Source organism: Homo sapiens, chromosome 4 (genome assembly GCF_000001405.40).
Source record: "Homo sapiens chromosome 4, GRCh38.p14 Primary Assembly".
Classification (NCBI taxonomy): domain Eukaryota; kingdom Metazoa; phylum Chordata; class Mammalia; order Primates; family Hominidae; genus Homo; species Homo sapiens.
This window is the reverse complement of record NC_000004.12, coordinates 56,266,280-56,292,164: the sequence shown is the minus strand read 5'-3', so window position 1 is coordinate 56,292,164 and position 25,885 is coordinate 56,266,280. Positions and strand designations below refer to the sequence as shown.

General features: G+C 42.2%; 1 protein-coding gene and 1 pseudogene across 9 annotated transcripts in view; one reads left to right on the top strand and one right to left on the bottom strand.

Annotated features, from left to right (window-relative positions):
• The window catches only part of CRACD (capping protein inhibiting regulator of actin dynamics), a 281,512-nt gene that overhangs the window by 38,445 nt on the left and 217,182 nt on the right, over positions 1 to 25,885 (bottom strand). For all 9 annotated transcript variants that reach the window (XM_047415994.1, NM_001393381.1, NM_001393384.1 and 6 more), the window contains one exon: positions 19,673 to 19,844. In XM_047415994.1, coding sequence (XP_047271950.1) covers positions 19,673 to 19,844 — 172 coding nt within the window. The remainder of the gene's footprint in view (positions 1 to 19,672; positions 19,845 to 25,885) is intronic.
• Positions 3,581 to 3,680, top strand: RNU6-197P (RNA, U6 small nuclear 197, pseudogene; annotated as a pseudogene).

Genomic DNA, 25,885 nt, shown 5'->3' with positions numbered 1-25,885 from the left:
ACAATGCAGCCAATTTATTTGCTACAGTACAACAAAGGAGACCTTGGCTCCAGTTCTCAGTAAGTTCCTTATTTCCATCTGAGACCGCATCAGCCTGGCCTTCACTGTCCATATAACTATCAGCATTTTTAGTCACAAGTATTTAACCAGTCTCTAAGAAATTCCAAACTTTCCCTCATCTTTTCTTCTCCTGAGCCCTCCAAACTCTTCCAACCTTTGCCTGTTACCCAGTTCCAAGGCTGCTTTGACATTTTCAGGTATCTTTATAGCAATGCCCCATTCTTTGGTACCAGTTTTCTATATTAGGTCATTTTTGTGTTACTGCATAGAAATATCTGAGGCTGGGTAATTTATAAAGAAAAGAGGTTTAACTGGCTTATGGTTCTGCAGGCTATATAAGCATGGCACCAATTATCTCCTTGGCTTCTGGTGAGGGTTTCAAGAAGCTTACAATCATGGTAGAAGGCAAAATGGGGGCAGGTATGTCAGTCATGTGGTGAGAGCAGGAGAAAGAGGGCAGCATTTGTATAATATTAAATCTAATATTAAATCTTTGGTGAGCATGGTTACCAGTTCCAGCTCCAAACAACTCTACAATGTAGATTATTTCCTGTTCTCTGAAGGGGAAGCTGAGGTGGGTAAAAATATTGCCCAAAGTTCCAAAATTTGAGGCAGGGTTGGAATTGAAACTGAATAGCCTTTGCGTGGAGATCTCAGCTTGAAACCATGTTCTAATGAACACAGAGCTTGGTGGAACCATGGTCCTTAACCATCTGGGAAGTGCAAATTACATGATTGGGAGGTGGAGAGGCAATTTACCACAAATTGTACCTTAGCAGAGTTCGTCCGGACTTCTTTATTCTTGACATTTAAAGACCTTTCGCAGTTGATTGTGAAGCAGGCCAACTCCACCTCTCCCTGCTTCCTTTTAAGAGGGAACCAAGAGAGAGGGGCCTTTCAGCTTCAATGCTGCAACTTTCCCTCACTCTCTCTCTGCTCAAATGATAGAAAATGGACTTGCCAGGTGGGAACCTTCTCTTCTGCTACTGAGAACCAGAGCAGCCTCTTGCTTGTGAGAAGAGCTGTATAAAGACCTCTAAAATCCCACAGATTTTAAACCTTCAACTGGAGGATTGTCAATATAGTCATTTAACAATCATTTTAATTTAAACAAGATTTGAAGTCAAATGCAAAGCACGCATGGTAAAAGCCAACTCTACAAAGACAGGAAGAAAGGCCCACTTGGGAAGTTCAGAACAGCACTGGTATCTGAGCAACAGTTTTCACAGTTTTCATAAGCCTAGAAAAGAATCACAGCCCCGACTTACAGAGGCCAGAAAAATGGTCCCTTTGGATTGGAGGTCCCAAGAGCAGAAGTTCCTGGGGCTTTAGAAGGCAGTCAGCTCTCCTATGTACATGTACAAAGGAGCATGGCTGAGATGTTTTAACTGTCATTTCTACATTTCTGTCCTGATTTGCTGTTGTCATTGATATTATTTTTATTGACAGACAGGTTGGGCTTTGAAACATTTCATCAGGCATTTCTAATCAGCCCAAAGATACCAGCTTTTGGACTTGCCCCTCTACTTTTCACTGCCTCCTGCAGTTATCTTTCCAAAGACATTGATGGGAGAACAGCCTGAGGTTGCTCTTCTGGCTTTACCTTTAATAACTGCCTCACTCCAATACTCTCTTCTTCTCCTCATGTGTCTCCAGCTACAGTGGAGTGACTTTCCCACTGTTTCTGCATACTTAACATGAATTCATCAATCTTCCCACAGAACTCCTATCTTTTCTATTTCTTTGTTACTCTCATCCCCCGGGCTCTGTGCTATATTATTTTGTAAGTGAGGTAAAGTCCAGATTAGGAGGAAGATAAAATGCAAAAACCTTAACAGATAACATCGCCTGTGCTTTCACTTTCAGAAATCCTTCAAAGACAATGTAAAAACTCATGCAGAAGACTGGAAATCCTGAGCTCGCAGACCTATTCTGAGCCTGCATTCCACTCTGCCTGCCAATATTTCTCTGCACCTATGCCTGGAGGCCTGGAGCGCTGCTCTTCACATCTCTAGTGAGTCTCTACGAGTAAACTGGAAGCAGCAAAAGGCAGTGTACTGTATCAGCGATGACAGGGACAGCCCTCACACAGCCAACAGCCACTGCAGAAAGGGCCCCTCTGTGCTCATGGAGTCCAAGACCCAAGTCTTTATGGATGGAGAAGCTGAGGCCCAGCAAAGTGAAGAGAGAGACTCAATCAAAACAGAAACCAGAGCTCAAGCTCCTGGCTCCTATTGACACGGCTTAATACAGTGTTTACAGATGTTTGGATTTCTTAGAGAAAATGACATTATATGAATGGTGGCTGCTAGATCACGACAAGAAAGGAGCATTAAGAGGGTTCCAGTTCACCCACGATTGCAAATGTTATACAAAAGAGGATATACCAGTTTTACTTTGTTTTTTTTTTTTTTTTGAGACAGAGTCTCATTCTGTTGCCCAGGCATTCTGTTGCCCAGGCATTCTGCTGCAGTGGTCTCTCTGCTCACTGCAGCTTCGAACTCTCCAGGCTCAAGGGATCCTCCCACCTCAGCCTCCCAAGTAGCTGGAAATACAGGCGTGCACCACCGTGCCTGGCTAAGTTTTTATTTTTTTCATAAAGATGGGATCTTGCCATGTTGCCCAGGCTGGTCTCAAACTCCTGGGCTCAAGCGATCCTCCTGCTTTGGCCTCCCAAAGTGCTGGGATTACAGGTGTGAACCGCCATGCCCAGCCCAGTTTTAATTCTTAAACACAAAATCTGTCATTACCAAGTGGGATCCCAGCAGCCATAAATTTTTTCATATTTGTATAATATTGATCAAGATTTTATTACGATAAAATGTATGTAACATAAAATTTAGTATTTTAACATTTTTTAAGTACACAGTTCAGTGGCATTAAATACACTCATATTACAATGAAACCATCAGCACTATCAACTTTTAGAACCTTATCATCATCCTAAACTTCATATCCATGCAACAATAACTCCCCATTCTCCCCTCTCCGCAGTCCCTGGTAACTACTATTGTACTTTCTGTCTCTTTGAATTTTACTATTTCAGGTACTTCCTTTAAATGGAATAATATAATATCTGTCCTTTTGTGCCTGGCTTATTTCACTTAGCATAATGTTTTGAAAGTTCATCCACATTGTAGCATGTGTCAGAATTTCCTTCCTTTTTAAGAATGAATAATTCCATTGTATGTACATATCACGTTTATACATTCATCCATCAATGGGCATTTGGGTTGTTTCTCCTTTTTGGCTATTGTAAGTAGCACTGCAATGAACATGGGTGTGCTGATGAAGATTTTAAAAATACAGGAATGCAGCCTTATGACTCATATCTATGTGTAGACACGGCTGAAAAAGTAAATAGGTGTGCCGTAAGTCCCCATTCCACATAGAAGATCTACATCATCTTGATCTCCTCCACCCAAATTAAACAGTCAATATCTGTAAAGATCAGTAGCGATCTCATAAGACCAAAGAAGTGAAAGAAAGGGGAGAAGGAAGAGGAAGAGGAAGAGTAGGAGCACTTCAGCAGCACATACACTACAACTGGAACGATATGGAGATTATCATGGTCCCTGTGCGAGGATGACATGCAATTAAGTGAATTAATGCAGAAACAGAAAACTAAATATCGTATGTTCTCACTTATAAGTGGGAACCAAGTCTTGGGAACACACAGACATTAGGGACTCCAATAGGAGAGAGGGAGGGAGCGGGGGGCAAGAGCTGATACATTTCCTATTGGGTACTTTCGTCACTATCTGGGTGACTGGATTAAACGAAGCTCAAACCTCAGCATCACGTAATATACCCTTGTAACAAACCTATACATGTACTCTCTGAATCTGAAATAAAAATGGAATTTTTTAAAAAAAGAAGAGCAGGAGGAGGAAGGTAAGAAGAAGAGGAGGAAATTAAGAAAAGAGGAAGAAAAAAGGAGAAGAAGAGGAAAAATCCTTGACATTTGCCTAAAATCATGGGAAATTTTGAGGTCAGTTCTCGAAAACCTGATCCTGGTACCTGATGCACAGAACAATAGCCCATAGGGTTCCATCCATGCCACTCCTACCCAAGAAGGTTCAAATACCATGAACCCACTCCAGGAACCATTAGCTACAGACTAGAGGCTTTGAATAGGCTTAGTCAATTCTAAGGGAAGATGCGTTTAGCACTAAGAAAAACTCACAGAGGTTTACAGGGTCCTGTTCTACCTACATCTTAAAACATTTAAGCCCTTTGATCTAACTCATTATGGGTTTAGAAAGACAGCAGGAAACACACATTGGTATTTCTCCTTTACTCCACCTCCTCTTTCCTTTCCTTTACCCAGAGTCAGATGAATTAAACTCCAAGATTTTACCCAGAGGCTCCAAACAACGACTTTAGGGCCAGGCATGGTGGCTAATGGCTATAATCCCAACGCTTTGAGCAGGGAGAATAGTTTGAACCCAGGAGTTCAAGATCAGCCTGGGAACCATAGCAAGAGCCCATCTCTACAAAAAATAATAAAAAATTAGCCAGGTTCGCCGGGCACAGTGGCTCTTGCCTGTAATCCCAGCACTGTGGGAGGCCGAGGTGGGCAGATCGCCTGAGGTCAGGAGTTCAACACCAGCCTGGCCAACGTGGTGAAACCCCCTCTACTAAAAATATAAAAATTAGCCAAGCATGGTGGTTCACGCCTGTAATCCCAGCTACTCAGGAGGCTGAGACAGAAGAATTGCTTGAACCTGGGAGACAGAGGTTGCAGTGAGCCAAAATCATGCCACTGCACTCCAGCCTGGGTGACAGAGACTCTGTATCAAAAAAAAAAAAATTAGCCAAGTATAGTGCTGCACATTTGCAGTCCCTGCTACTCAGGAGGCTGAAGCGGGCAGATTGCTTGAGCTCAGGAATTCGAGGCTGCAGTGAGTTATGATCACGTCACCATACTCCAGCCTAGGTGACAGAGGCCTTGCCTCTAAAAATAAAAGGGAATAAAAGACTGTTATAGAATAAAAACATAGTACTGTCAGGCTCACTTTGGCAGCAAATACATCAAAATACAGGGCGTTTTGAAGGGCTTGTTTCTGTGCTTAAAGTTGTCAAGAGCTTAGGAAACTCAGCGGAGGCCTGGATGAGTCATTGCAATTTGCTGGAATACTATATGGATAGGATGATTATGCTAATAAGCATGCCAGCAGCAATGGTTAGGGCTCACACACTGTAACCTTTGCTCAGGTGAAGCTTTTATTTTTATTATTACTTTTTATGTTGAAGCCGTTGCAGACTTTGTTTTCCCGGACCTTTTGAGAGGAAGTCACTGGCATGATGCTCATCACCCTGACCACGGCAGCAGTGGGAGCCAGAGGACTTGCTCTTGAACACACAGTAAGATGTTAACGGGAATCTGCAGAAATAAATGCAGGAACCCCGAGAGCAGTCGAAAAATCAATGAGTGTATAATTGTTACTGTTGCCCTGGTTTTACCTCCACTCTATTGCAATATAATTGACATCTGTAAATGATCTCCAAGTTGCATCTTTTCCAATTCAGCTTTCTCTGAAACCCTACGGTAATCTTTTTTTTTTTTTTTTTTTTTTGAGACGGAGTCTCGCTCTGTCGCCCAGGCTGTAGTGCAGTGGCGCGATCTCGGCTCACTGTAAGCTCTGCCTCCCGGGTTCATGCCATTCTCCTGCCTCGGCCTCCCGAGTTTTTTGTGTTTTTTTTTTTTCGGAGACAGAATCTCACGCTGTTGCCCAGGCTGCAATACAGTGGCACAATCTCAGCTCACTGCAACTCCCACCTCTGGGGTTCCAGAGATTCTCACGCCTCAGCCTCCCAAGCAGCTGGGATTACAGGCGCGTGCCACCACACTCGTCTAATTTTGGTATTTTTAGTAGAGATGGGGTTTTGCCATGTTGGCCAGGCTGGTCTCAAACTCTTGGCCTCAAGTGATCTGCCCACCTCAGCCTCCCAAAGTGCTGGGATTACGGTCATGAGCCACTGTACCTAGCCCCCTATATTAATCTTAAAGGAGTTAATTTGCCAGCTCAGAAACCACTGGTGTTTTCCCATGCCAAAATCCTCCCAGATAAAGCTGCAGTGGTTGCTTGGCATTTAAGGCTCTTCATGCCAGAGCCCTAAAGTACTCTGGCTCTATGAAACAGAGGTTGTGTAGTGTAGGGATTACCTCTTACCTCTTAGGGATTAGTTCTTACCTCTGAAACCTAGTTCTACCATTTACCAGCTGTGTGGCTTTCAGCAAGTCTCTAAACCTCCAGGTGCCTCAGTTTCCTTAACTGTTAAATGGGGATAATAATAGGACCTACCTCACAGGGCTTTCATTAGAATTAAATTTATGATATGTAAAACACTAAGAATGGTGTAAGCAGTGCTGGGCACCTATAATCCTAGTGCTTTGGGAGACCAAAGCGGGAGGATGGCTTGAGGTCAGGAGTCTGAGACCAGCCTAGGCAACAACACTACAAGACCCTGTCTCTAAAAATAAAAAATAAAAAATTCATGGGGCGTGGTGGCCCGTGCCTGTTGTCCCAGCTACTCAGGAGGCTCAGGTGGGAGGATTGCTTGAATTCAGGAGTTTGAGGCTGCAGTGAGCTGTGATCCCACCACTGCACTCCGGCCTTTGTGACAGAGCAAGACATTGTCTCTTAAAAAAAAAAAGTTATTATCTAATGTCACCCTACTTCAAGCACCCATGAGGCAAACCTGACCTGTAAGTTCCTCAAATACCATCACTGGGTTCTATTACCGCATAGGGTCTTCTGCTGCATGGACTGCCCAGTGCCAGTCTCGAAATTCGGTTCTTACCCATTGATGAGGTTTGGATTTGTGTCCCCACCCAAATCTCACGTTGAATTGGAGGGGCGGCCTGGTGGGAGGTGATTGGATCATGGGGGTGGATTTCCCTCATGCTGTTCTTGTGATAGTGAGTGAGTTCTCACAAGATCTGATGGTTAAAAGTGTGTGGCACTTCCCCCTTTGTTCTTTGTCTCTCCTGCTCCACCATGGTAAGACATGCTTGCTTCCCTTTCACCTTCCACCATGACTGTAAGTTTCCTGAGGCCTCCCAACCATGGTTCCTGTTAAGCTTGTGGAACCGTGAGTCAATTAAACCTCTTTTCTTTATAAATTACACAGTCTCTTTATAGCAGTGTGAAAACAGACTAATACACCATCTTTTGAGATCCAGCTCAAACCTTATCAGCCCCACAAACCTTTTCTTGCTCCCTTTTGTCCCTCAGGAATCTCTTTGTATGAATCTCATGCTGTTTGACCTTACGGTTACTGTAATCAAGCCTTTAATGAGAGAGAAAATAAAAGTGCTTTGCATGTTGTAAAGTACGACACAGATGTGATTCTTTTTTTTTGTTTTTTGTTTTCGAGACGGAGTCTCACTCTGTAGCCCAGGCTGGGGTGCAGTGGCACCATCTCGGCTCACTGCAACCTCCATCTTCTGGGTTCAAGCAATTCTCCTACTTCAGCCTCCCAAGTAGCTGGGATTACAGGTACCCACCACCACGCCTGGCTAATTTTTGTATTTTTAGTAGAGATGGGGTTTCACCATGTTGGCCAGGCTAGTCTTGAACTCCTAACCTCAGGTGATCCACCTGCCTCAGCCTCCCAAAGTGTTGGGATTACAGGCGTGAGCCACCATGCCTGGCCAATGTGATTTTACTGACAATAGTGATACCATCTTATCTCCACCCCAGTACTATGTTAGGTCAGGGATCACATCTATTATCTTTGTTTTTCCCATAGTGCTTTCTATTATCAAATTTGTCAGCAATTTTTTTTTTTTTTTTTTTTTTTTTTACTTTAGGATGGGTTCTTACTATGTTGACCAGGCTGGTCTGAAACTCCTGGGCTCAAGGAATCCTCCCACCTCAGCCTCCCAAAGTGCTGGTATTACAGGTATGAGCCGCTGTGCCCCACCAAACATTTTCAAAGGATAAGAAAATGATTACTACTGTAGGGTGAGTTGGTTTACCAGGTGGGTTTTCTGTAGAGAGATCACAATGGAAAGCGTGAGGCAGATGTGTTATGGGAAAACGCAGAATATGTTCAGATCATGGCTGTTTTCCAGGAGGTCACTGCAGAAAGCTCCAAGAAGCCAACGGGTGGCAAGTCAGGAGGCTGTTCAGCCTCTCTCAAGGTTTCTTTTGAGACTTCTTTTCAACTTAAACCAGGGAGCTGCTCCAGGCTTTGCTTCCCACTTTCTATTTCAAACCTTCTCTCTCACACCTAGTTTTCCTGGTGTCTACATGTGTCAGTTACCAGTCTGATCTGTAGGCAACAGAAACTTTGTTTCACTCTACCTAAAGAAAATGTACTAGAAGTACAGTTGAGGCTCACAGAACAAAAGAAACCAGACTGCAGGCTTGGAAAAACACTGGAGTTAGGTAGGAGAGCTCTAGAGCCTAGGCATCAGGAGCCACAGCCGCCATTAGGCCGCACAGTGAGCCAGTAACTGCTCCTCCTAGAAGCTGTGTTCCCTACATCTTTGACTCACCTGCCAAGTCAAAGTCCTAGGGGAGAACATGTGATTGGCCAGGCTGGGTTGCAGGCTTACACCAGGCTGCAGTGGGAGGGGAAGGGGAAGATCTGATCCTTTTGATTTCTGCCCTAGGAAGCAGGCACTATGTCCTACCAGAGCTACACACAGCAAGGTAAAGACAACTCCCTAAAAGGGAAGGAGCTTTCAGGGAGTCACCTTGACTTGAGAAGGGGAACTGGATGCTAATGGCTAAGTGACCAAAAAAACAGCTACCACACTATGCTTCTAGGTCTGCGTCTGGATTCTCTCTTCTAGTCTAGCCCACCTGGATGGATGACTCACTTGCACAACTCCCTGTATTGTGATTCTACTTCTCCCCAGGAGGCTGCCCTTCTTTCTTGGTGGCATGTGCTGCTGCCTGAGAGCAAAGGTTGTCACACCCCATGGTCCTGGGATGCTGAAACCCAGGCCCAGTGCTCTATGCTCATACCTATCTGGAGGAATGGGAGAGATGAGACAGAGGTGTATGCTGGGTCTGTGACCTGGAGCTCAGCACACTTGAAGGTCAGAGCAAAGAGAGAGGTTGCAAAGGAAAGCAAAACAAACTAAGTTAGCCCTGCAGCCACACTACTCCATCTCTCACACACTAGGCACTTAGAGCTAAGGAGAGCGGAGAGGCGTCAGGAAGAGCTATCTCTATTTTAAGCTCTGTCGTCTGGTGCCACTATCTGCGAAAGATAGCATCTATGCGAAAGGAACAATGAAAAGCAAGAGGCAGTTTGGTAGGCAGAGGCCTTTCTGAGAAAGTTCTCCTCATTCACAATCATACAAGACAGGGACTGCCTTCTTTCTGTCTGTGGTCTTTGTCATCCGCCTATGACACCTGGAACTGTGACAGCCATCTTGTGATGACTATGAGGGAACAAACCTGAGGACAAAAGGCCACTCCCTGAGGATGCCAGAGAAAAAGGGACTCAGATTGGATCCTGGTGATGTTGCTGGGCCATTTCGTCAACCAACCTTGGAACTTGGAAAGTCTTCCAGACTTTCTGGTCCATCAGACAATATACTTCATTCCTGTTGAAGATGCTAGTAGTTCTGATTTCTGTTAAAACTGCAATCATCCTACCTGATACAGCTTTCTAGCCACTCTTCTAAGCACTGGGCACAATCTAAGACCTGCTGACATCATCCAACTGTGGAGTGTGAGCCTACAGAGGGAAATTCTTCCCATCCAAAAAAGGAGAAGGCTTTCTGCAGCTGCACAGTGAATGCATGCCTCAGGCCAGCCCTCCTATTCCTTATCCTTTGTCTTTTTTGGACAAGAATCATGTAATTTGGGACCATAGATATTGGGTAATTACTATGGCAATGATTAGGGATTCACTTCAGGAATAAGGAAATATAATTATAGTCCCATTTCAGCTTGTTTCCATGACAACAGGGGCAATTGCAATTGATCAGCAGTTTTCTTCCTAAACAGATCCGTGAGTCTCATTCAAATGAAATGTTAAAGAGCAATTAAATATCCTCATCAAACAAACTAGAGTTGCTGGAAGAGACTGGAGTCAGATTATCTGACTTAGAGGCTCATCCTGAACTTCCGTATTCTATCAAAATATACGCTATTTGATAGGCTATAGTGTACCAAATTACCTGTTAATTACAAAAGAAACAGGGTACGTCATACAAATTCAAGGAAGAGGAGGAAAGTTTGGAATCTCAAATGGAGAATCTTAGAATTGAAGTCAGAGGGTCATCTACTCCGGTCTGTAAGCTCAGTCCTAAGACACCACCTAAGACAAACGATCTTCTAACTTGCCTCTAAAGCCCACTTCACAGGCTTCCATGCTATTTATTCCACTCCTACGTTTCCCCATGTGGAGAAAGATCTTTCCATAAACCTCTGTAGCTGTCATTTGAATCAATTTTCCTCTGGTTCATGCTCTGGAAATAGTAGTCATCAATATCCTCTTTATCTCAATACTAATATTAACCTGCTTTTTAAAGTGCTTTATTGCAGATAGCGCAATGTCATATGCATTTTTGTCCTCCTAATAATCCTGGGAGACGAAGGCGCTAGCTAGGTGAGGGTCACACAGCTCTCGAGTGAGACACCTGGCTTCCTGAGAGGTCCCTAGCTCCTGTTCTGCTGCATTTACCACATATTGTATCTCTAAGAATCGCTATACCTCAGCAGTCCCCAACCTTTTCAGCACCAGGAACCGGTTTTGTGGAAGATAATTTTTTCATGGACGGGGCTGGGAAGATGGTTTCAGGATGAAACTGTTCCACCTCAGATTATCAGGCATTAGATTCTCAGAAAAAGCACGCCACCTAGATCCCTCGCATGCACAGTTCACAATAGGGTTCATGCTCCCATGAGAATCTAATGCAGCTGCTGATCTGATAGGAGGTGGAGCTCAGGCAGTAATGCTCCCTTGCCTGCCACTTACCCCCTGCTGTGCGGCCTGGTTCCTAACAGGCCACACACCGGTACTGGTTCACCACCTGGGGGTTGGGGACCCCTGCTATAACTGATTCATCAACCTTCTTTTTCTCTAGACATATTCAGCTCAGCTCTGTTGATTTTCCTGCTTAGTACCTAATTTTTATTTAATGGGTTTTGCACCTCTTCACCATTCCCTATTCAATTTCAGCACATCCCAGCTTCCTAAGGATAGAGGATAAACAGTCAAGTAAAACAGGTCCTTTCTGACTTCATCCTCTGAAACGCAGCAAGGTCAGGTGAATCAATGCAAACAACGGTAAGCAGGGAGCCTGCACTTCAGTATAACTTCATTGGTAACATGAAGTCTCATGGCACCAACTGTGGATTCTTCCTTTTCCAGCAGGTCTGAGGGACAGTGATACTCTTTACCAAGGTGGGAAACTGGAGGCCAAATTAGATGAATATTGACTTGTCCAGTGGGAAAAGTCAGTATGGGGAAGAGCAGTAATCAATGCATTCATTCATTGAATAAATGCTTACTGAATACCTGCTATGTGCCGGGCCCAGCGTTAGAGGCGGGAAATACAACGAATGGCAAGTCACAAAGCTTACTTTTAGGGAAAGGTCAAGGAAGTTGTGAGAACAATGTCAGGGGAAGGGGCCTGATCTAGGCTGAGGGAATCAAAGAAAGCTTGCTCTCCTAAGGAAGGCACATTTGTGCAGAAAACTCAAGGATGGAGAGGAATTAGACAAAGGAAGGAGGTGGAGATGGGGGATGGGGCTATTCAAGAAACAAGCACTACCATGTGCAAAATGGGCAGGCTTGGAGTGTAGTCACATTTCTTTTCTTTTTTTTTTTCTTTTTATTATACTTTAAGTTTTAGGGTACATGTGCACAACGTGCACGTTTGTTACATGTGTATACATGTGCCATGTTGGTGTGCTGCACCCATTAACTCGTCATTTAACATTAGGTATATGTCCTAATGCTATCCCTCCCCCCTCCCCCCACCCCACAACAGGCCCCAGTGTGTGATGTTCCCCTTCCTGTGTCCATGTGTTCTCACTGTTCAATTCCCACCTATGAGTGAGAACATGCGGTGTTTGGTTTTTTGTCCTTGCGATAGTTTGCTGAGAATGATGGTTTCCAGCTTCATCCATGTCCCTACAAAGGACATGAACTCATCATTTTTTATGGCTGCATAGTATTCCATGGTGTATATGTGCCACATTTTCTTAATCCAGTCTATCATTGTTGGACATTTGGCTTGGTTCCAAGTCTTTGCTATTGGGAATAGTGCCGCAATAAACATACGTGTGCATGTGTCTTTAGAGCCGCATGATTTATAGTCCTTTGGGTATATACCCAGTAATGGGATGGCTGGGTCAAATGGTATTCTAGTTCTAAATCCCTGAGGAATCGCCACACTGACTTCCACAATGGTTGAACTAGTTTACAGTCCCACCAACAGTGTACAAGTGTTCCTATTTCTCCACATCCTCTCCAGCACCTGTTGTTTCCTGACTTTTTAATGATCGCCATTCTAACTGGTGTGAGATGGTATCTCATTGTGGTTTTGATTTGCATTTCTCTGATGGCCAGTGATGATGAGCATTTTTTCATGTGTCTTTCGGCTGCATAAATGTCTTCTTTTGAGAAGTGTCTGTTCATATCCTTCGCCCACTTGTTGATGGGGTTGTTTTTTTCTTGTAAATTTGTTTGAGTTCATTGTAGATTCTGGATATCAGCCCTTTGTCAGATAAGCAGATTGCAAAAATTTTCTCCCATGTTGTAGGTTGCCTGTTCACTCCGATGGTAGTTTCTTTTGCTGTGCAGAAGCTCTTTAGTTTACCCAAGATGGCCGAATAGGAACAGCTCCAGTCTACAGCTCCCGGCATGAGCGACGCAGAAGATGAATGATTTCTGCATTTCCATCTGAGGTACCAGGTGCATCTCACTGGGGATTGTCGGACATTGGGTGCAGGACAGTGGGTGTAGTCACATTTCTAACACTAATAGCACTGTCACCTCTTTGAGCCTGTTTCCCCATTTATAAAGTGAAGGTATGGGATCAGAACTAAACATTACCCTAAACCATTAATATTTTATATTCCCACCAGCAATGTGTGAGGGTTCCAATCCCTATATATCTTCATCAACACTTGTTACTGTCTATCTTTTTTGCCTGTAGCCTTCCTAATGGGTGTGAAATAATATCTCATTTGTGGTTTTGATTTGTACTTCCCTGATGGCTAATGATGTTGAGCAAGTATGGTTTATGTGTTAATTGATATTTTTATATCTTTTGTGGAGCGATGTCTATTAGAATCCTTTGCCCAATAAAAAAAAATTTGGGGAGGGGGTCATTTTATTATTGAGTTGTGGGAGTTTTGTTTTTTATTTTTACTTATTCCAAATATGACTTACAAATATTTCCATCCATTCTGTGGATTGTTTTATAACTTTCTTGATGATATCATTTGTAACACAAAATTTAATTTTGATGTAGTCCAACTTTTCTGTTTTTCCTTTTGTCACTTGTGCTTTTGGTACCTAAGAAACCACTGCCTAATTCAAGGTCATGGAAATTTACTTTTTCTTTTAAGAGTTTTATAATTTTAATTCTTACATTTAGGTCTGTGATCCATTTTGAGTTAATTTTTGTATATGATGTAAAAAAGGGTCCAATTTCATTCTTTTGCATGTGGCTATCCAATTGTCCCAGAAATATTTGTTGAAAAACTCTTCTTTGCCCATTGAATTGTCTTAGCACTCTTATTGAAAATCAATTGACCACAAACGTAAGAGTTTATTTCTGAACTCTCAATTCAATTCCATTATCTTTATATCTATCCTTATACCAGTACTTCACTGTTTAGATTACTGCAGCTTTGTAGTAAGTGTTTTAAATGGAAAGTGTGAGTCTTCCATCTTTGTTCTCCTTTTTCAATAATGTTTTGGCTATTCTGGGTCCCCTGCAATTCCATATGAATTTTAGGATCCACTTCTAATTTCTGGGGGAAAAAAGACAGCTAGGATTTTGATGGGGACCACATTGAATCTGTAGCTCAATCTGGGGAGTACTGTCATCTTAACAATATTATGTTTTCCAATAGATGAACATGAGATGTCTTTCCATCATTTCAATCTTCTTTAATTTCTTTCAATGATATTTTGTCATTTTTGGTGTACAAGTCTTGCACTTCTTGGTTAAACTTATTCCTAAGTCGTTTATTCTTTTTGATGCTATGTAAATGGAATTGTTTTCCTAGGGTCATCTTTAGATTATAAATTGCTAGAGTACAGAAATACAATTGATATACAAAAACTCCAATCTTGTATCCTATAACTTTGCTCAATCTTGTTTATTAGTCTAATAGCTTTCTGTGTGTGTATTCCTTAGGACTTTCTATATATACAATCATGGCATCTGCAAGTACAGTTTTACTTCTTCCTAAGATTAATGCCTCTTATTTCTTTTTCTTTTCTAAATGTCCCAGCTATAGCCAACAGTATAGTACTGTAGAATACAGTGTTGAATAGAAGGAATGAGATAAGAAACCCTTGTTTTGTTCCTGATCTTAAGGGGATCACATTCATTTTTCATCATTAAATATGATATTAGCTGTGGATTTTTCAGATGCTCTTTATCAAGTTGAAGGAGTTTCCTTCTATTTCCAGTGTTGTCTATTTTTTTTTTTTTATAAATCATGAAAGGATGTTGGATCTTGTCAAATAGTTTTTCTGCATTTATTGAGATGATCATGTGGTTTTTATCCTTTATTTTATTAATATGGTATATTACATTGATTGGCTTTTTTATGTTAAACCAACCTTGCACTCCTGGGATAAATCCCATTTGGTCATGTTACTTAAGCCTTCTTACATGTTGTTGGATTCAGGCTACTAGTTTTTTCTTAAGGATTTTTGTGTCTATTGTCATAAAGGATATTGGTCTGTGGAGTTTTTTTCTTGTGATATCTTTGCCTGATTTTAATATGAGGATAACACTGGCCTCACAGAGTTGGAAAGTTCCCTCCTATTCTATTTGTCATCTTCCTTCTTCCATGAAAATTTCTGCTTATGCCATTATCTGACAGGTTCATGCCTTCCCTCTCAGCTACTCCATGTCCTGCCCATCATTTGGAATCAGCTCAAGGCCCCCTCATTCCTGAACCCTTTCCCGACTGTTCCAGTCCAAGTGAGCTCATATTCTCCAGAACTCCTTCACATCTCACTGTGCTTACATCTGGCACTTAATATAAAGTGTTGTACTTATGCATGATGTAACAAACACTGGGTGTTCAGTAGAAACTGGAAGCAGGACAAGTAGAGTCCCAGTAAGTATCAGAGCCTCAATCAGGCAGCTGGAGGCAGGCAGACATCTGAGCCTAGTGACTCAGGACCAGTATGATGATTCAGGGCCATATGAGTAGCTCCCTAGTGAGGCTGCAGCCTCCTTGAGAGGCACAGTAGTGGATGTTTAAGAATGCACTCTTTATTGCTTGAATAGTGGCTCAGGGATTTATAAGCTATATGACCTTAGGCAAATTACCTGCTAGCCTTAGTTTTCTCATCTTTGAACTGTTGATAATAATATCAATCTTAAATAGTTGTGGTAAATATTATATGAGTTCACCTATGCAAAAGTGAATACACTGTAATAACTTCAATTAGTGGTACCTTTAATACATGCCATTGGATATTCTCAGTGGAAAAAGGGTCTACGGTCAAAGGAATATTGAAATACTGCATACTACATCCTTCTTCCTAGGGATTCACAGGACACATTCGCATAGTAAAAGTTCTGTCGAGTCCCACATAAAGAATCCTATTTAATTTGTTTTTGTTCAGAATTCCCCAAACCTATTTACCAAGATGACCCTCTCCCTCTTTTAAAATTTAACAACTGTTTTAACACGCCTTTGGGAACATAATATTAGTTGTGTTTAATTAAGAAAAGAAATCACATTAGATTCTTAAAAATGGATCATGTTTTATTGCTTTGCTTTTCCCAAGGAATGTATAATTTACAAGCAGCAGCCTAGGAGAGATAAAGGCTTCTAACCTAGAGAAAGAAAAGAATGCTTTAAAAACCCAAAGGAAATGGAAATTTTCAGGCAGAAGGAGCAGATCAATAAGGAGCTATTCTCAGTCATGGGAACATTTCTAGAATTTCAGATTCTTGGGAGTTTGACAGGATGTTAAAGTTCAGCTCCCTTCAATTCCCACCCAGTGCCGAAATCCCACCTTCACTGGCCTCAACCTTTGTGGGCACATGCCAAGCCTCCCATTTTCAGGCAGTTCTAATTAGGAAATTCTCCCTCACATTGGGCTGAAATCTACCTTCTTGTAACCTCTACCCAAAATCACGTTAATGGAGCTTTGAGTTTTGTGCTTTTGTGAGAACTGTCCATTTTGGAGATAGCAAATAAAATGTACAGAAAATTTTTTGAATCATTACACAATGTAAAGTAACAGTCTGTTAATTGAACCATGAACTAAAAATAAGAATTTCTGAAAAGAACATTTTTCATTTTCTCCATCTGTAAATAAGGCAAATAATTAGAAGCTCAGTTATACCATAATCAACATATGTAGTATTTACTTTGTAGGTGAAATTACTTTGCAATTGTCAATTCCCTAGAAAAGAGAAATATGTATTTTTTAATTACTTCTATTTTCCTGTGCTTCTAACTTTTTTTTTCTGTGTTGTCCAGGCTAGAGTGCAGTAGCTATTCATAGACATGATCATAGCGCACTATAGCCTTGAACTCCTGGCTCAAATGATCTTCCCGCCTCAGCCTCCCGAGCAGCAGGGATTAAAGGCACTTGCTGCCACACCTTGCTGTGTTTCTATCCTAATTTTTTTTTAACTTTTATTTTACGTTCAGGGGTACACGTGAAGGTTTGTTACGTAGGTAAACTCAAGTCACAGGGGTTTGCTGTACAGATTATTTCATCACCCAGGTATTAAGCCCAGTAAATTATCTTTTCTGCTCCTTTCCCCCCACTCACCCTCCACACTCAAGTAGATTCCAGTGTCTGTTGTTACCGTCTTTGTGTCATGAGTTCTCATCATTTAGCTCCCACTTATAAGTGAGAACATGCAGTATTTGGTTTTCTGTTCCTGCATTAGTTTGCTAAGAATAATAGCCTCCAGCTCCATCCATGTTCCTGCAAAACACATGATCTTGTTCTTTTTTGTGGCTGCAAAGTATTCCATGGTGCATATGCACTACATTTCTTTATCCAATCTGTCACTGATGGGTATTTAGGTTGACTCTATGTCTTTGCTATTGTGAACAGTGCTGCAATGAACATTTGCATGCGTGTGGCTTTATGGTAAAATGCTTTATACTCCTCTGGGCATATACCCACTAATTTTTTAAATATTTAAAGTGACATTTTAAAAATTAATAGTCCAAAGCTTATCCTTTTATATCCTTACTTAAGAGATGTGTTTATTATAAAAAGGTTTAATTAAAATATAGTACACGTCTCATAAATGCAGGTTTGTGGACAAGAGTCAATAACGAGGACAGGTGACATTATTAGAAATGCAGCTATTTGATCCAAAGTGGAATTTCCCAAGGCTTTGTAAAACCTGAAACCTTAAGGAAAACCCCAAGAAGTTAACAGAATATAAGACTTAAATGGGAAGAGAACCTCCAGGGTCCACATTCCTGTAAGAGTCCAACATGGCTCAATATGAAATCAGACTTGGCAAAACTATGCTATACCTACTATACTACAAAAAGGATGGGTTGTGTTTCCATAGAACTGTCCCTCTAAGGGAGAACTTTCCAGACTTGACCTCATTTTGTATTAAACTGCCACTTACTCTCATTTTACTATCTGTTCCTCATCCTGATACCGTGAGGCCAAAAAGTTCACGCTCTTATTTTACAATTGAAAACCTGAAGTAAAATCAAAATGGATTCAAACTGCACACTCCTTGACTATCCACTGGGACAACATTCCAACAGCTGAGTGAGTTAGCACTAGCTGTGCTCTCCTTTCAGTTACATCTTTCCCTGCGTCAAATTAAATCATTTTCTTACCCTACAGAGTAAAGACAACAGAAAATAAACACAGGGCTGTCAAGGAAAAGAGTCAGTATCAGGACTAACAAATGCTGTTGGTGAATATTTGCTGTAAAATTAATGTGTACCACTGGTCTGAGGGTTTTGTAATTTAGACACAACAGCAGTGTTCATTAGAATTTACTTACTGACACACACCACAGAGGATATTTTTGTCTCTGTCCTTGAAGCACGGTGAGAATATCACATATGATACCATCTATTCCTTCCGCTTAGCTTATGCAGTGTCAGGCATTCATGGAAAACATTTTTTTGAGCACGTAATACAAGGCTGAATGAAACCTAGTCCCTGACTTCATGAAACTGACAGTCAAGTGAAGAAGACAGAAGCAAATCAATAATTTCCATAGAAAGTGACAAGTTCTCTGCTGAAACCAGGCACACAATGCTACAAGAACACAGGCAAGGGCAAACAAATCAGATGGGGTTGTCGGAAAAGGTTTCTCAGAGGAGCTGGTTTCTAAGCTGTCAGTATCAGAGTTTAACCAGCTCTGATACTGACTTCAATTCCAAGCACTCAGGTAAGAAAGTACTTCCTGACCCTACTTTTCTGAGTTCCTGACACTGTCACACCCAGATTTAGTGCCTGTGTTCTAAGAGGCGGGGAAAGAAAGAAGGAAGGAAGGAAGGGAAGAAAGGGAGAAGTGGGGGAGAGAGAGGGAAGAAAGGAGGGAGGGAAGGAAGAAACGAGGGAGGGAGGGAGGGACGTAGGGAGGGAGGAAGGAAGGAAGGAAGGAAGGAAGAAAGGAAGGAAGGCAGGCAGGCAGGCAGGCAAAAGCTCCATCATAAACAGGCTCCAGAAGTTGCTAGAGATGGCCAGGGGTATGAAGGGTGACCACCTGTGCCTGAGCAACCTGCATCCTCAACAAGGGTGTAAAGTCTAGCCCATGACAACCTTTCTATTTGTAAAGCAATGGCATAAGGAAACACAGTCTTCTTCAATCTGAGGAACCCTGGTGAGCCAAGCCAGTGAAATGTTGCCTCCTTCCACAAACAAGAGCAGCGAAATGAATGCCCAATTCCTGTGCACTCCCAGAAAATGAGGTCAGACTCATTTGATAACTCCCCAAGGTGACTTCTCCATGCAGAATACACCAAGTCTTACACGTTCCCAGAGATGGAACCCATTTGTGATCCTTTTTTTTTTTTTTTTGAGGCAGAGTCTCACTCTGTCACCCAGGCTGGAGTGCAGTGGCATGATCTCAGCTCACTGCAACCTCCACCTCCTGGGTTCAAGCAAGTGATTCTTGTGCCTCATCCTCCTCAGTACCTGGGATTACAGGTGTACACCACCATACCTGGCTAATTTTTTTGTACTTTTTTAGTAGAAACGGGGTTTCCCCATGTCGCCTAGGCTGGTCTTGAACTCCTGACCTCAAGTGATCTGCCCGCCTCGGCCTCCCAAAGCGTTGGGATTACAGGAGTGATCCCAACACCCTGCCCCGTTTGGGATTCTGTTCTTGTCTCCTGGAACCAAAAACAGCACCTACTTCCTTTGGGATCCCATTCCCCACCCTGGGACTCCACCAAAGATCTGAAAGGAAAGTGCAAGTTATTACCTTAGATTGTCTTCCAGGGTCTCCTCATCCGAAGAGAAGGTCCCATTGCTGACACTCTGGTGAGAGTAACTCTTCTTCCCCAACGACGGCACCCGGAACAACGAAGGGTCTTTCTTTTTCCTTTTGCCAAACAACTTTTTAAAAGGCTGGAATTTGCCTCCCTTCTTCTTGTCTGTGGATTGTAAAACAAACACATGCTGCAGTGTGGCAGGGCTGCACTTCCAAGCCTAAGGAGCAAATTATAACCCAGCTGCCTCCGGCCAAAGGAGACAGGGCAAAGGGCGGCCATCAGCCTGAATGAGCGACCAAGCCCTGTGCCAGGAATGTCGGCGCCAGCCCCAGCGCGATCCATGCACAGGGAGGCAGAGCACGAGCCAAAGGCATGGTGAATCGTCTGTCCCCCAGGCTCCCAAGAAACATCTGGGGAGAACAAGAAGAGGTTCCAAGTGGCCAGGGCATGGTGGCTCATGCCTGTAATCCCAACACTTTGGGAGGCTGAGGTGGGAGGAGCATTTGAGCCCAGGAGTTTGAGACCAGCCTGGGCAACACAGTGAGATCCCATCTCTATAAAATATAAGAAAATTAGTCGGGTTGGTGGTGCACGCCTTTAGTCTTGGCTACTTAGGAAGCTGAGGCTGGAGGATTGATTGAGCCTGGGAAGTTGAGGCTGAGTGAGCTGTGATCACACCACCGCACTCCAGTCTGAGCAACAGAGTGAGACCCTGTCTCAAAAAATAAATAAATAAATAAAATAAAAAAGAAAAAGAAAAGATTTCAAGCTTCATGGTGGCCAGCACAGCACCTCTTTGCACATGCAATAAGGCAGTGCCTGCTTTCTTTAACAAAGCAGATAGCCAAATGCCCTTCTCCACTGAAGAGGCTGAGAAAAACACTTAAGTCAGATAGTTTTGTTTTTTTTTTAATATTTTTATCTCTATCTATACATATCTCCAGTTTGAGGGTCATTCTGTTTTGGCCTTTATTAGATACAGAAGATAACTGCCAACTCCTGACATAAGCTTTGCCCCCTAATTCCCTCTATCCCCATATATTTCCAGTTTATTTCCCTTGTCTCTTTTTAAAATCTACTATGAAGAGCCCCAAAGGAGTTGCTATGAACATCTTCCCATATATTACTTCATTAGTCAGGAACTAGGCTTGCTGCCAACATTTGTTGGAGGTATTTTAGGTAATACCTTTCAGTCCTCCGCCTTTGGATACAAATTCCTTCATGTTATTCCACTCTTTCCTTGGAAAAGAAAGTGTAAGTCACCCTCTACCAGAAGCAGCATCTTCCTGGATGTTTCGTTTTTCTTTAAGAAGCTTAAAGAGCCACCTTTCTAGTGGTCTGACAACTATTTTTAAAAACTTTTTTTTTTTTTTTTTTGAGATGGAGTTTCACTCTTATCGCCCAAGCTGGAGTGCAATGGCACGATCTTGGCTCCCTGCAACCTCTGCCTCCCGGGTTCAAGTGATTCTCCTGTCTCAGCCTCCCGAGTAGCTGGGATCACAGGCGCCTGCCACCACGCCTGGCTAACTTTGTGTGTGTGTGTGTGTGTGTGTGTGTGTGTTTAGTAGAGACGGTGCTTCACCATGTTGGCCAGGCTGGTTTTGAACTCCTGACCTCAAATGATCCGTCCGCCTTGGCCTCCCAAAGTGCTGTGATTACAGGCGTGAACCACTGGGCCTGGCCTAAAAACATGTTTTAACCCTTACTATGTACCACGGCTCTAAGAACTTTATAAATATTAACTCAGTCAATCCTCACAACAATCCTATTACATTGACACTATTAACATGCCCATTTTACAGATGAGGAACCTGAGACACGAAGAGATAAAATAGCATGCCTACATCACAGGAAACATATCTTTGAACAGGGAGTAAGAAGTTTTGAGAGAGAAGTAAAGATAGAGGCTCGCAACAAGAAGTGAAAAACACCTGCACAAAACGCACAGATACAACTCCCCCACCTTCCACCCAGCTGACTATCAGAGGCCCCAGAGCTCTGCTGGCCAGATCCATAGAGGAATCCAGGCACACAAATGAGGTCAGTGAGGAAACAAGCCAGACGTCTCATTTCCTCTGTGATCTTCAATTCTGGCCTTACTGAGATGTCACAGAAAATTTGAAGTGCTGCCAGATGTGGTGGCTCACGCCTGTAATCTCAGTTACTCGGGAGGCTGAGGTGGGAGGATCATTTGAGCCCAGGAGTTCAAAACCACCCTGGGCAATATGAGACCCCATCTCTAAAAAATAAAAAAAAAAAAGAAAAAGAAAATTTGAAGAGAAGAAGTGGTTCAAACTATTTCATCCTAAGCAGCGGCATAAGGTGCTGAGGACGCAGACAGAATAATAACCAATTACAAAAAGACAATCATCTGGGAACATTAGTACAGGTGCAAACAGAGCCTCCAACATCAGTGGTCCCCTGAAACGACGTTGTGTCAGATCACATTTAAAGGAAAGGATATTTAAAACATATCAGATGCCTGCTATACATACGCATTGTGCTAGGTACAAAAAAGAGTTAAATTATTTTTACTGTGTATTATTTGAAAGACAGGAAAGTGTGTGATATAGTTTGGATGTTGTTCCCTCTACATCTCATGTTGAATTGTAATCCCCAATGTTGGAAGTGGGGCTTGGTGGGAGGTGACTGGATCATGGGGGCGGATCCCTCATGGCCTGGTGCTGTCCTCGTGATATTGAATGAGTTATTGTGAGATCTGGTTGCTTAAAAGTGTGGAACTTACAAAATTAGCCAGGTGTGGTGGCGTGTGCCTGTAGTCCCAGCTACTCAGGAGGCTGAGGCAGGAGAATCACTCAAACCTGGGAGGCGAAGGCTGTAGTGAGCAGAGATCATGCCACTGTACTCCAGCCTGGGTGACAGAGGGAGACTCTGTCTCAAAAAAAAAAAAAAAAAAAAAGTGTGGCACCTCCCCCGACCTTGCTCCTGCTTTTGCCATGTGTCATGCCTGCTCCTACTTTGCCTTTCAGCCCTGTAGAGCTCTCTGAAGCCTCCCCAGAAGGCAAACAGATGCTGGCGCCATGCTTCCTGTACAGTCTGTAGAACTGTGGACCAATTAAATTTTTTTTTTTTTTACTTTGCGAGAGGGTCTCACTCTGTCGCCCAGGTTGGAGTGCAGTGGCGCGATCTTGGCTCACTGTAACCTCCACCTCCCGGGTTCAAGCAATTCTCATGCCTCAGCCTCCTGAGTAGCTGGGATTACAGGCGTGGGCCACCACCCCTGGCTAATTTTTATATTTTTAGTAGAGACGGGGTATCACTGTGTTGGCCAGGCCGATCTCCAACTCCTGACCTCAATTAATCTGCCCACTTCAGCCTCCCAAAGTGCTGGGATTACAGGCATGAGCCACCATGCCCGGCCACCTCTTTTCTTCATAAATTACCCAGTTTCAGGAATTTCTTTATAACAATGCAAGAATGGCCTAACACATCATGTAATACAATTGAGATATCATTTAAAAATGGTTTACAAAAAATAGAGGGTTTGATTTCAGAATGTTTGTATCTTTTCATTGGTTATTTATTCAGAAGTGAATATAGGCCAGTGATTTTCATGACACCTACTTTAGGTTCTTATCAATAAAATCTCCAATGAATAATATTTAAGAACTATAATCAGTAGTTTCTGAAGATCATCCAAGAGCACTAGGCATGTGTTAAAAGAATGTCCTTACAAAGGTTGATTTTTTAAAATTTAAATGTAAAAACATTCTGTAAGGCACCACAGGTATCATTATTGCACTATTCTATAACTGATCTTTGGCAATGACTGCTGTATTAATTGAAAACTTTCTCTACGACTGTCCAAGGCTGAAAATATGTAAACAGTGCCTGATTTCTAGTTTGGCAGCATCACAGTAAGTGGTCAAATGGCTATTTATATTATATTCCACTTATTTCCAAGGTAAAATTATTTTTTCCTTTTATATCAGTTGCCTTTTCCCCACTAAATATCAAACCCCCAAATTTCTATCTTTTTAAAAATAATTTTTTTTACAGTTGCTTTTTTTACCCAACACTGCTCCTTGACTATAACCCCAAAATTTCTAATCAGAAACATTCCAAAATACAATAGCAACATTATAAGAATATCAATTATGACATCATTATCCCAGCCTGGGTCCACAGATTTAGCTTTCGAGATAAGCAGAGAATTGTAGATTATGTTAGAATTTATTGATTAGAAAAAAAGTTCATCACTGCCATAAAGTCAGGGGAATTTAATAATGTTCAGTTGAAGTTTAATTTGAGTTAACTCTAAATAAAGATATTAAATTATAGTTTTCTAAACAGGTTACTCATCTATTTAACCAACAGGTAATCTCTGCACGTCAGCTAAGAGGGTTGATGAGGTCCTCTGTGTCACCTCACTGTTGTGAATGGTGACATCTACTATATAAATTATTTGCTGCACTGGTCACATTGTTGGGGGAAACAGCAAGTGAACAGGCTCTGGAAGGAGCTGAATACACACAAGGATGAGAAAAAGGCTGGGAGAGGGTGCCATCATTTGGAAGCCTTAGTTCTGAGAACTGGGAGGGTTTTGGCAGCAGAGAATGGCCTCCTTCAGGTGGCCCATTTATAGAGCTAGCCTACTTGAAGACTGTTTATCAAAAAGGTACCCTATCATTCTTTGCCACACTTAATATGGGCAATAACTTGACACAAGTACACACGCATCACCCTGGAAAATGGAACAAAGTCCAAGTGTCAGACAGTGCACTTATAATGACATGGGAACGCTGTTTCAGCAATGCCTTAGTTATTATCAGGACGGTGAAAGAACAGTAAAACCTAACTGGATTCTCCACCCAACAACCAATTCTTCTTACCGTAAGAAAAAAAGAGGTCCTAAGTCCTACAAACACCAATTTCCCTTCAAAGGAGGACTCAGAACATAGATGCTATCATTAAAAGTCTGCTCCAAAGTCTTATTAGTGTATGGTGACATCTCATTTATGAAAACTAATTTCCCCTTCCTCATTTCCAAAATCAGTAATACACTTTCCACCAGAAATATCTTTAAATCTTAAATAAATTGGCCAGGCGTGGTGGCTCACGCCTGTAATCCCGGCACTTTGCGGGGCTGAGGCAGGCGGATCACGAGGTCAGGAGTTTGAGACCAGCCTGGCCAACATCGTGAAACACCGTCTCTACTAAAAATACAAAAAAAATTAGCTGGGCGTGGTGGCTGGTGCCTATAATTCCAGCTACTTGGGAGGCTGAGGCAGGAGAATTGCTTGAACCCGGGAGGCAGAGGTTGTAGTGAGCCGAGATCGCACCACTGCAATCCAGCCCGAGCGACAGTGCGAGACTCCGTCTCAAAAAAAAAAAAAACTTAAATAAATTTAAAAGTGTATTTAATGGTTATTTTATTATTGACTGTGGTACTTGATCAATTTTCTAGCATTGACTTCCTGAAAAGACTCAGAAATTACATTTTAGCCCATCCTACATTCAGGAAGGCAAACTTAAGTGACATTAGTAGGAAATAAAATTTTATAAACTAGGTAAGGAGTTATACTCTTATTTGATTCCCCAATTGATAATCTCAAATATAAGATCTCTCATGTCAAAAAAGCAAGTTCTCAAAGCTTTACAATCCTATGTTGCATGACCATTATGAAAACCTGAGCATATGTCTATTAGCAACCACTAGATAAACTATTTTATGGTCAGTTTATGATGCTGGGGCAGTATTAGCAGTTTATCTCCACAGAATCAACTGGATTAAGTACATGGTCATCAGTAGCAGCTATTTTCTTGATAAATAACAACTGCTGATGTGAATGTTTTTGTGGTACACAGATGGGGCCTAAAAGATAGAAGCAATTTTAACAATGTAGTGAAACAGAGCACGTCTGCAATGCTAATGGGAAATATTCCGGAACAACTGCCATATAGAAGTATAATTTAGCAAAGTGTTCTCCAACACTGTACTATTTAAGATGGCATTTTAGACTTTTACAACACAAAATTTACTTTTGCTGGGTGGTTGGGCAGTGGGAAGAAGGGGACAGGAGGGAAGAAATGTTACTATCAATTTATTTTTCCTCACTGCAGCTCTAGTTAAGGGTTAAATATGTGGGCCCCAGAGACAAGAGGACTTGCCTCAAATCCTGATCCCATCTTTTACTAGCTATGAAACATCTGCTTACCAGCCTCTCTAGAAATTTGCCATC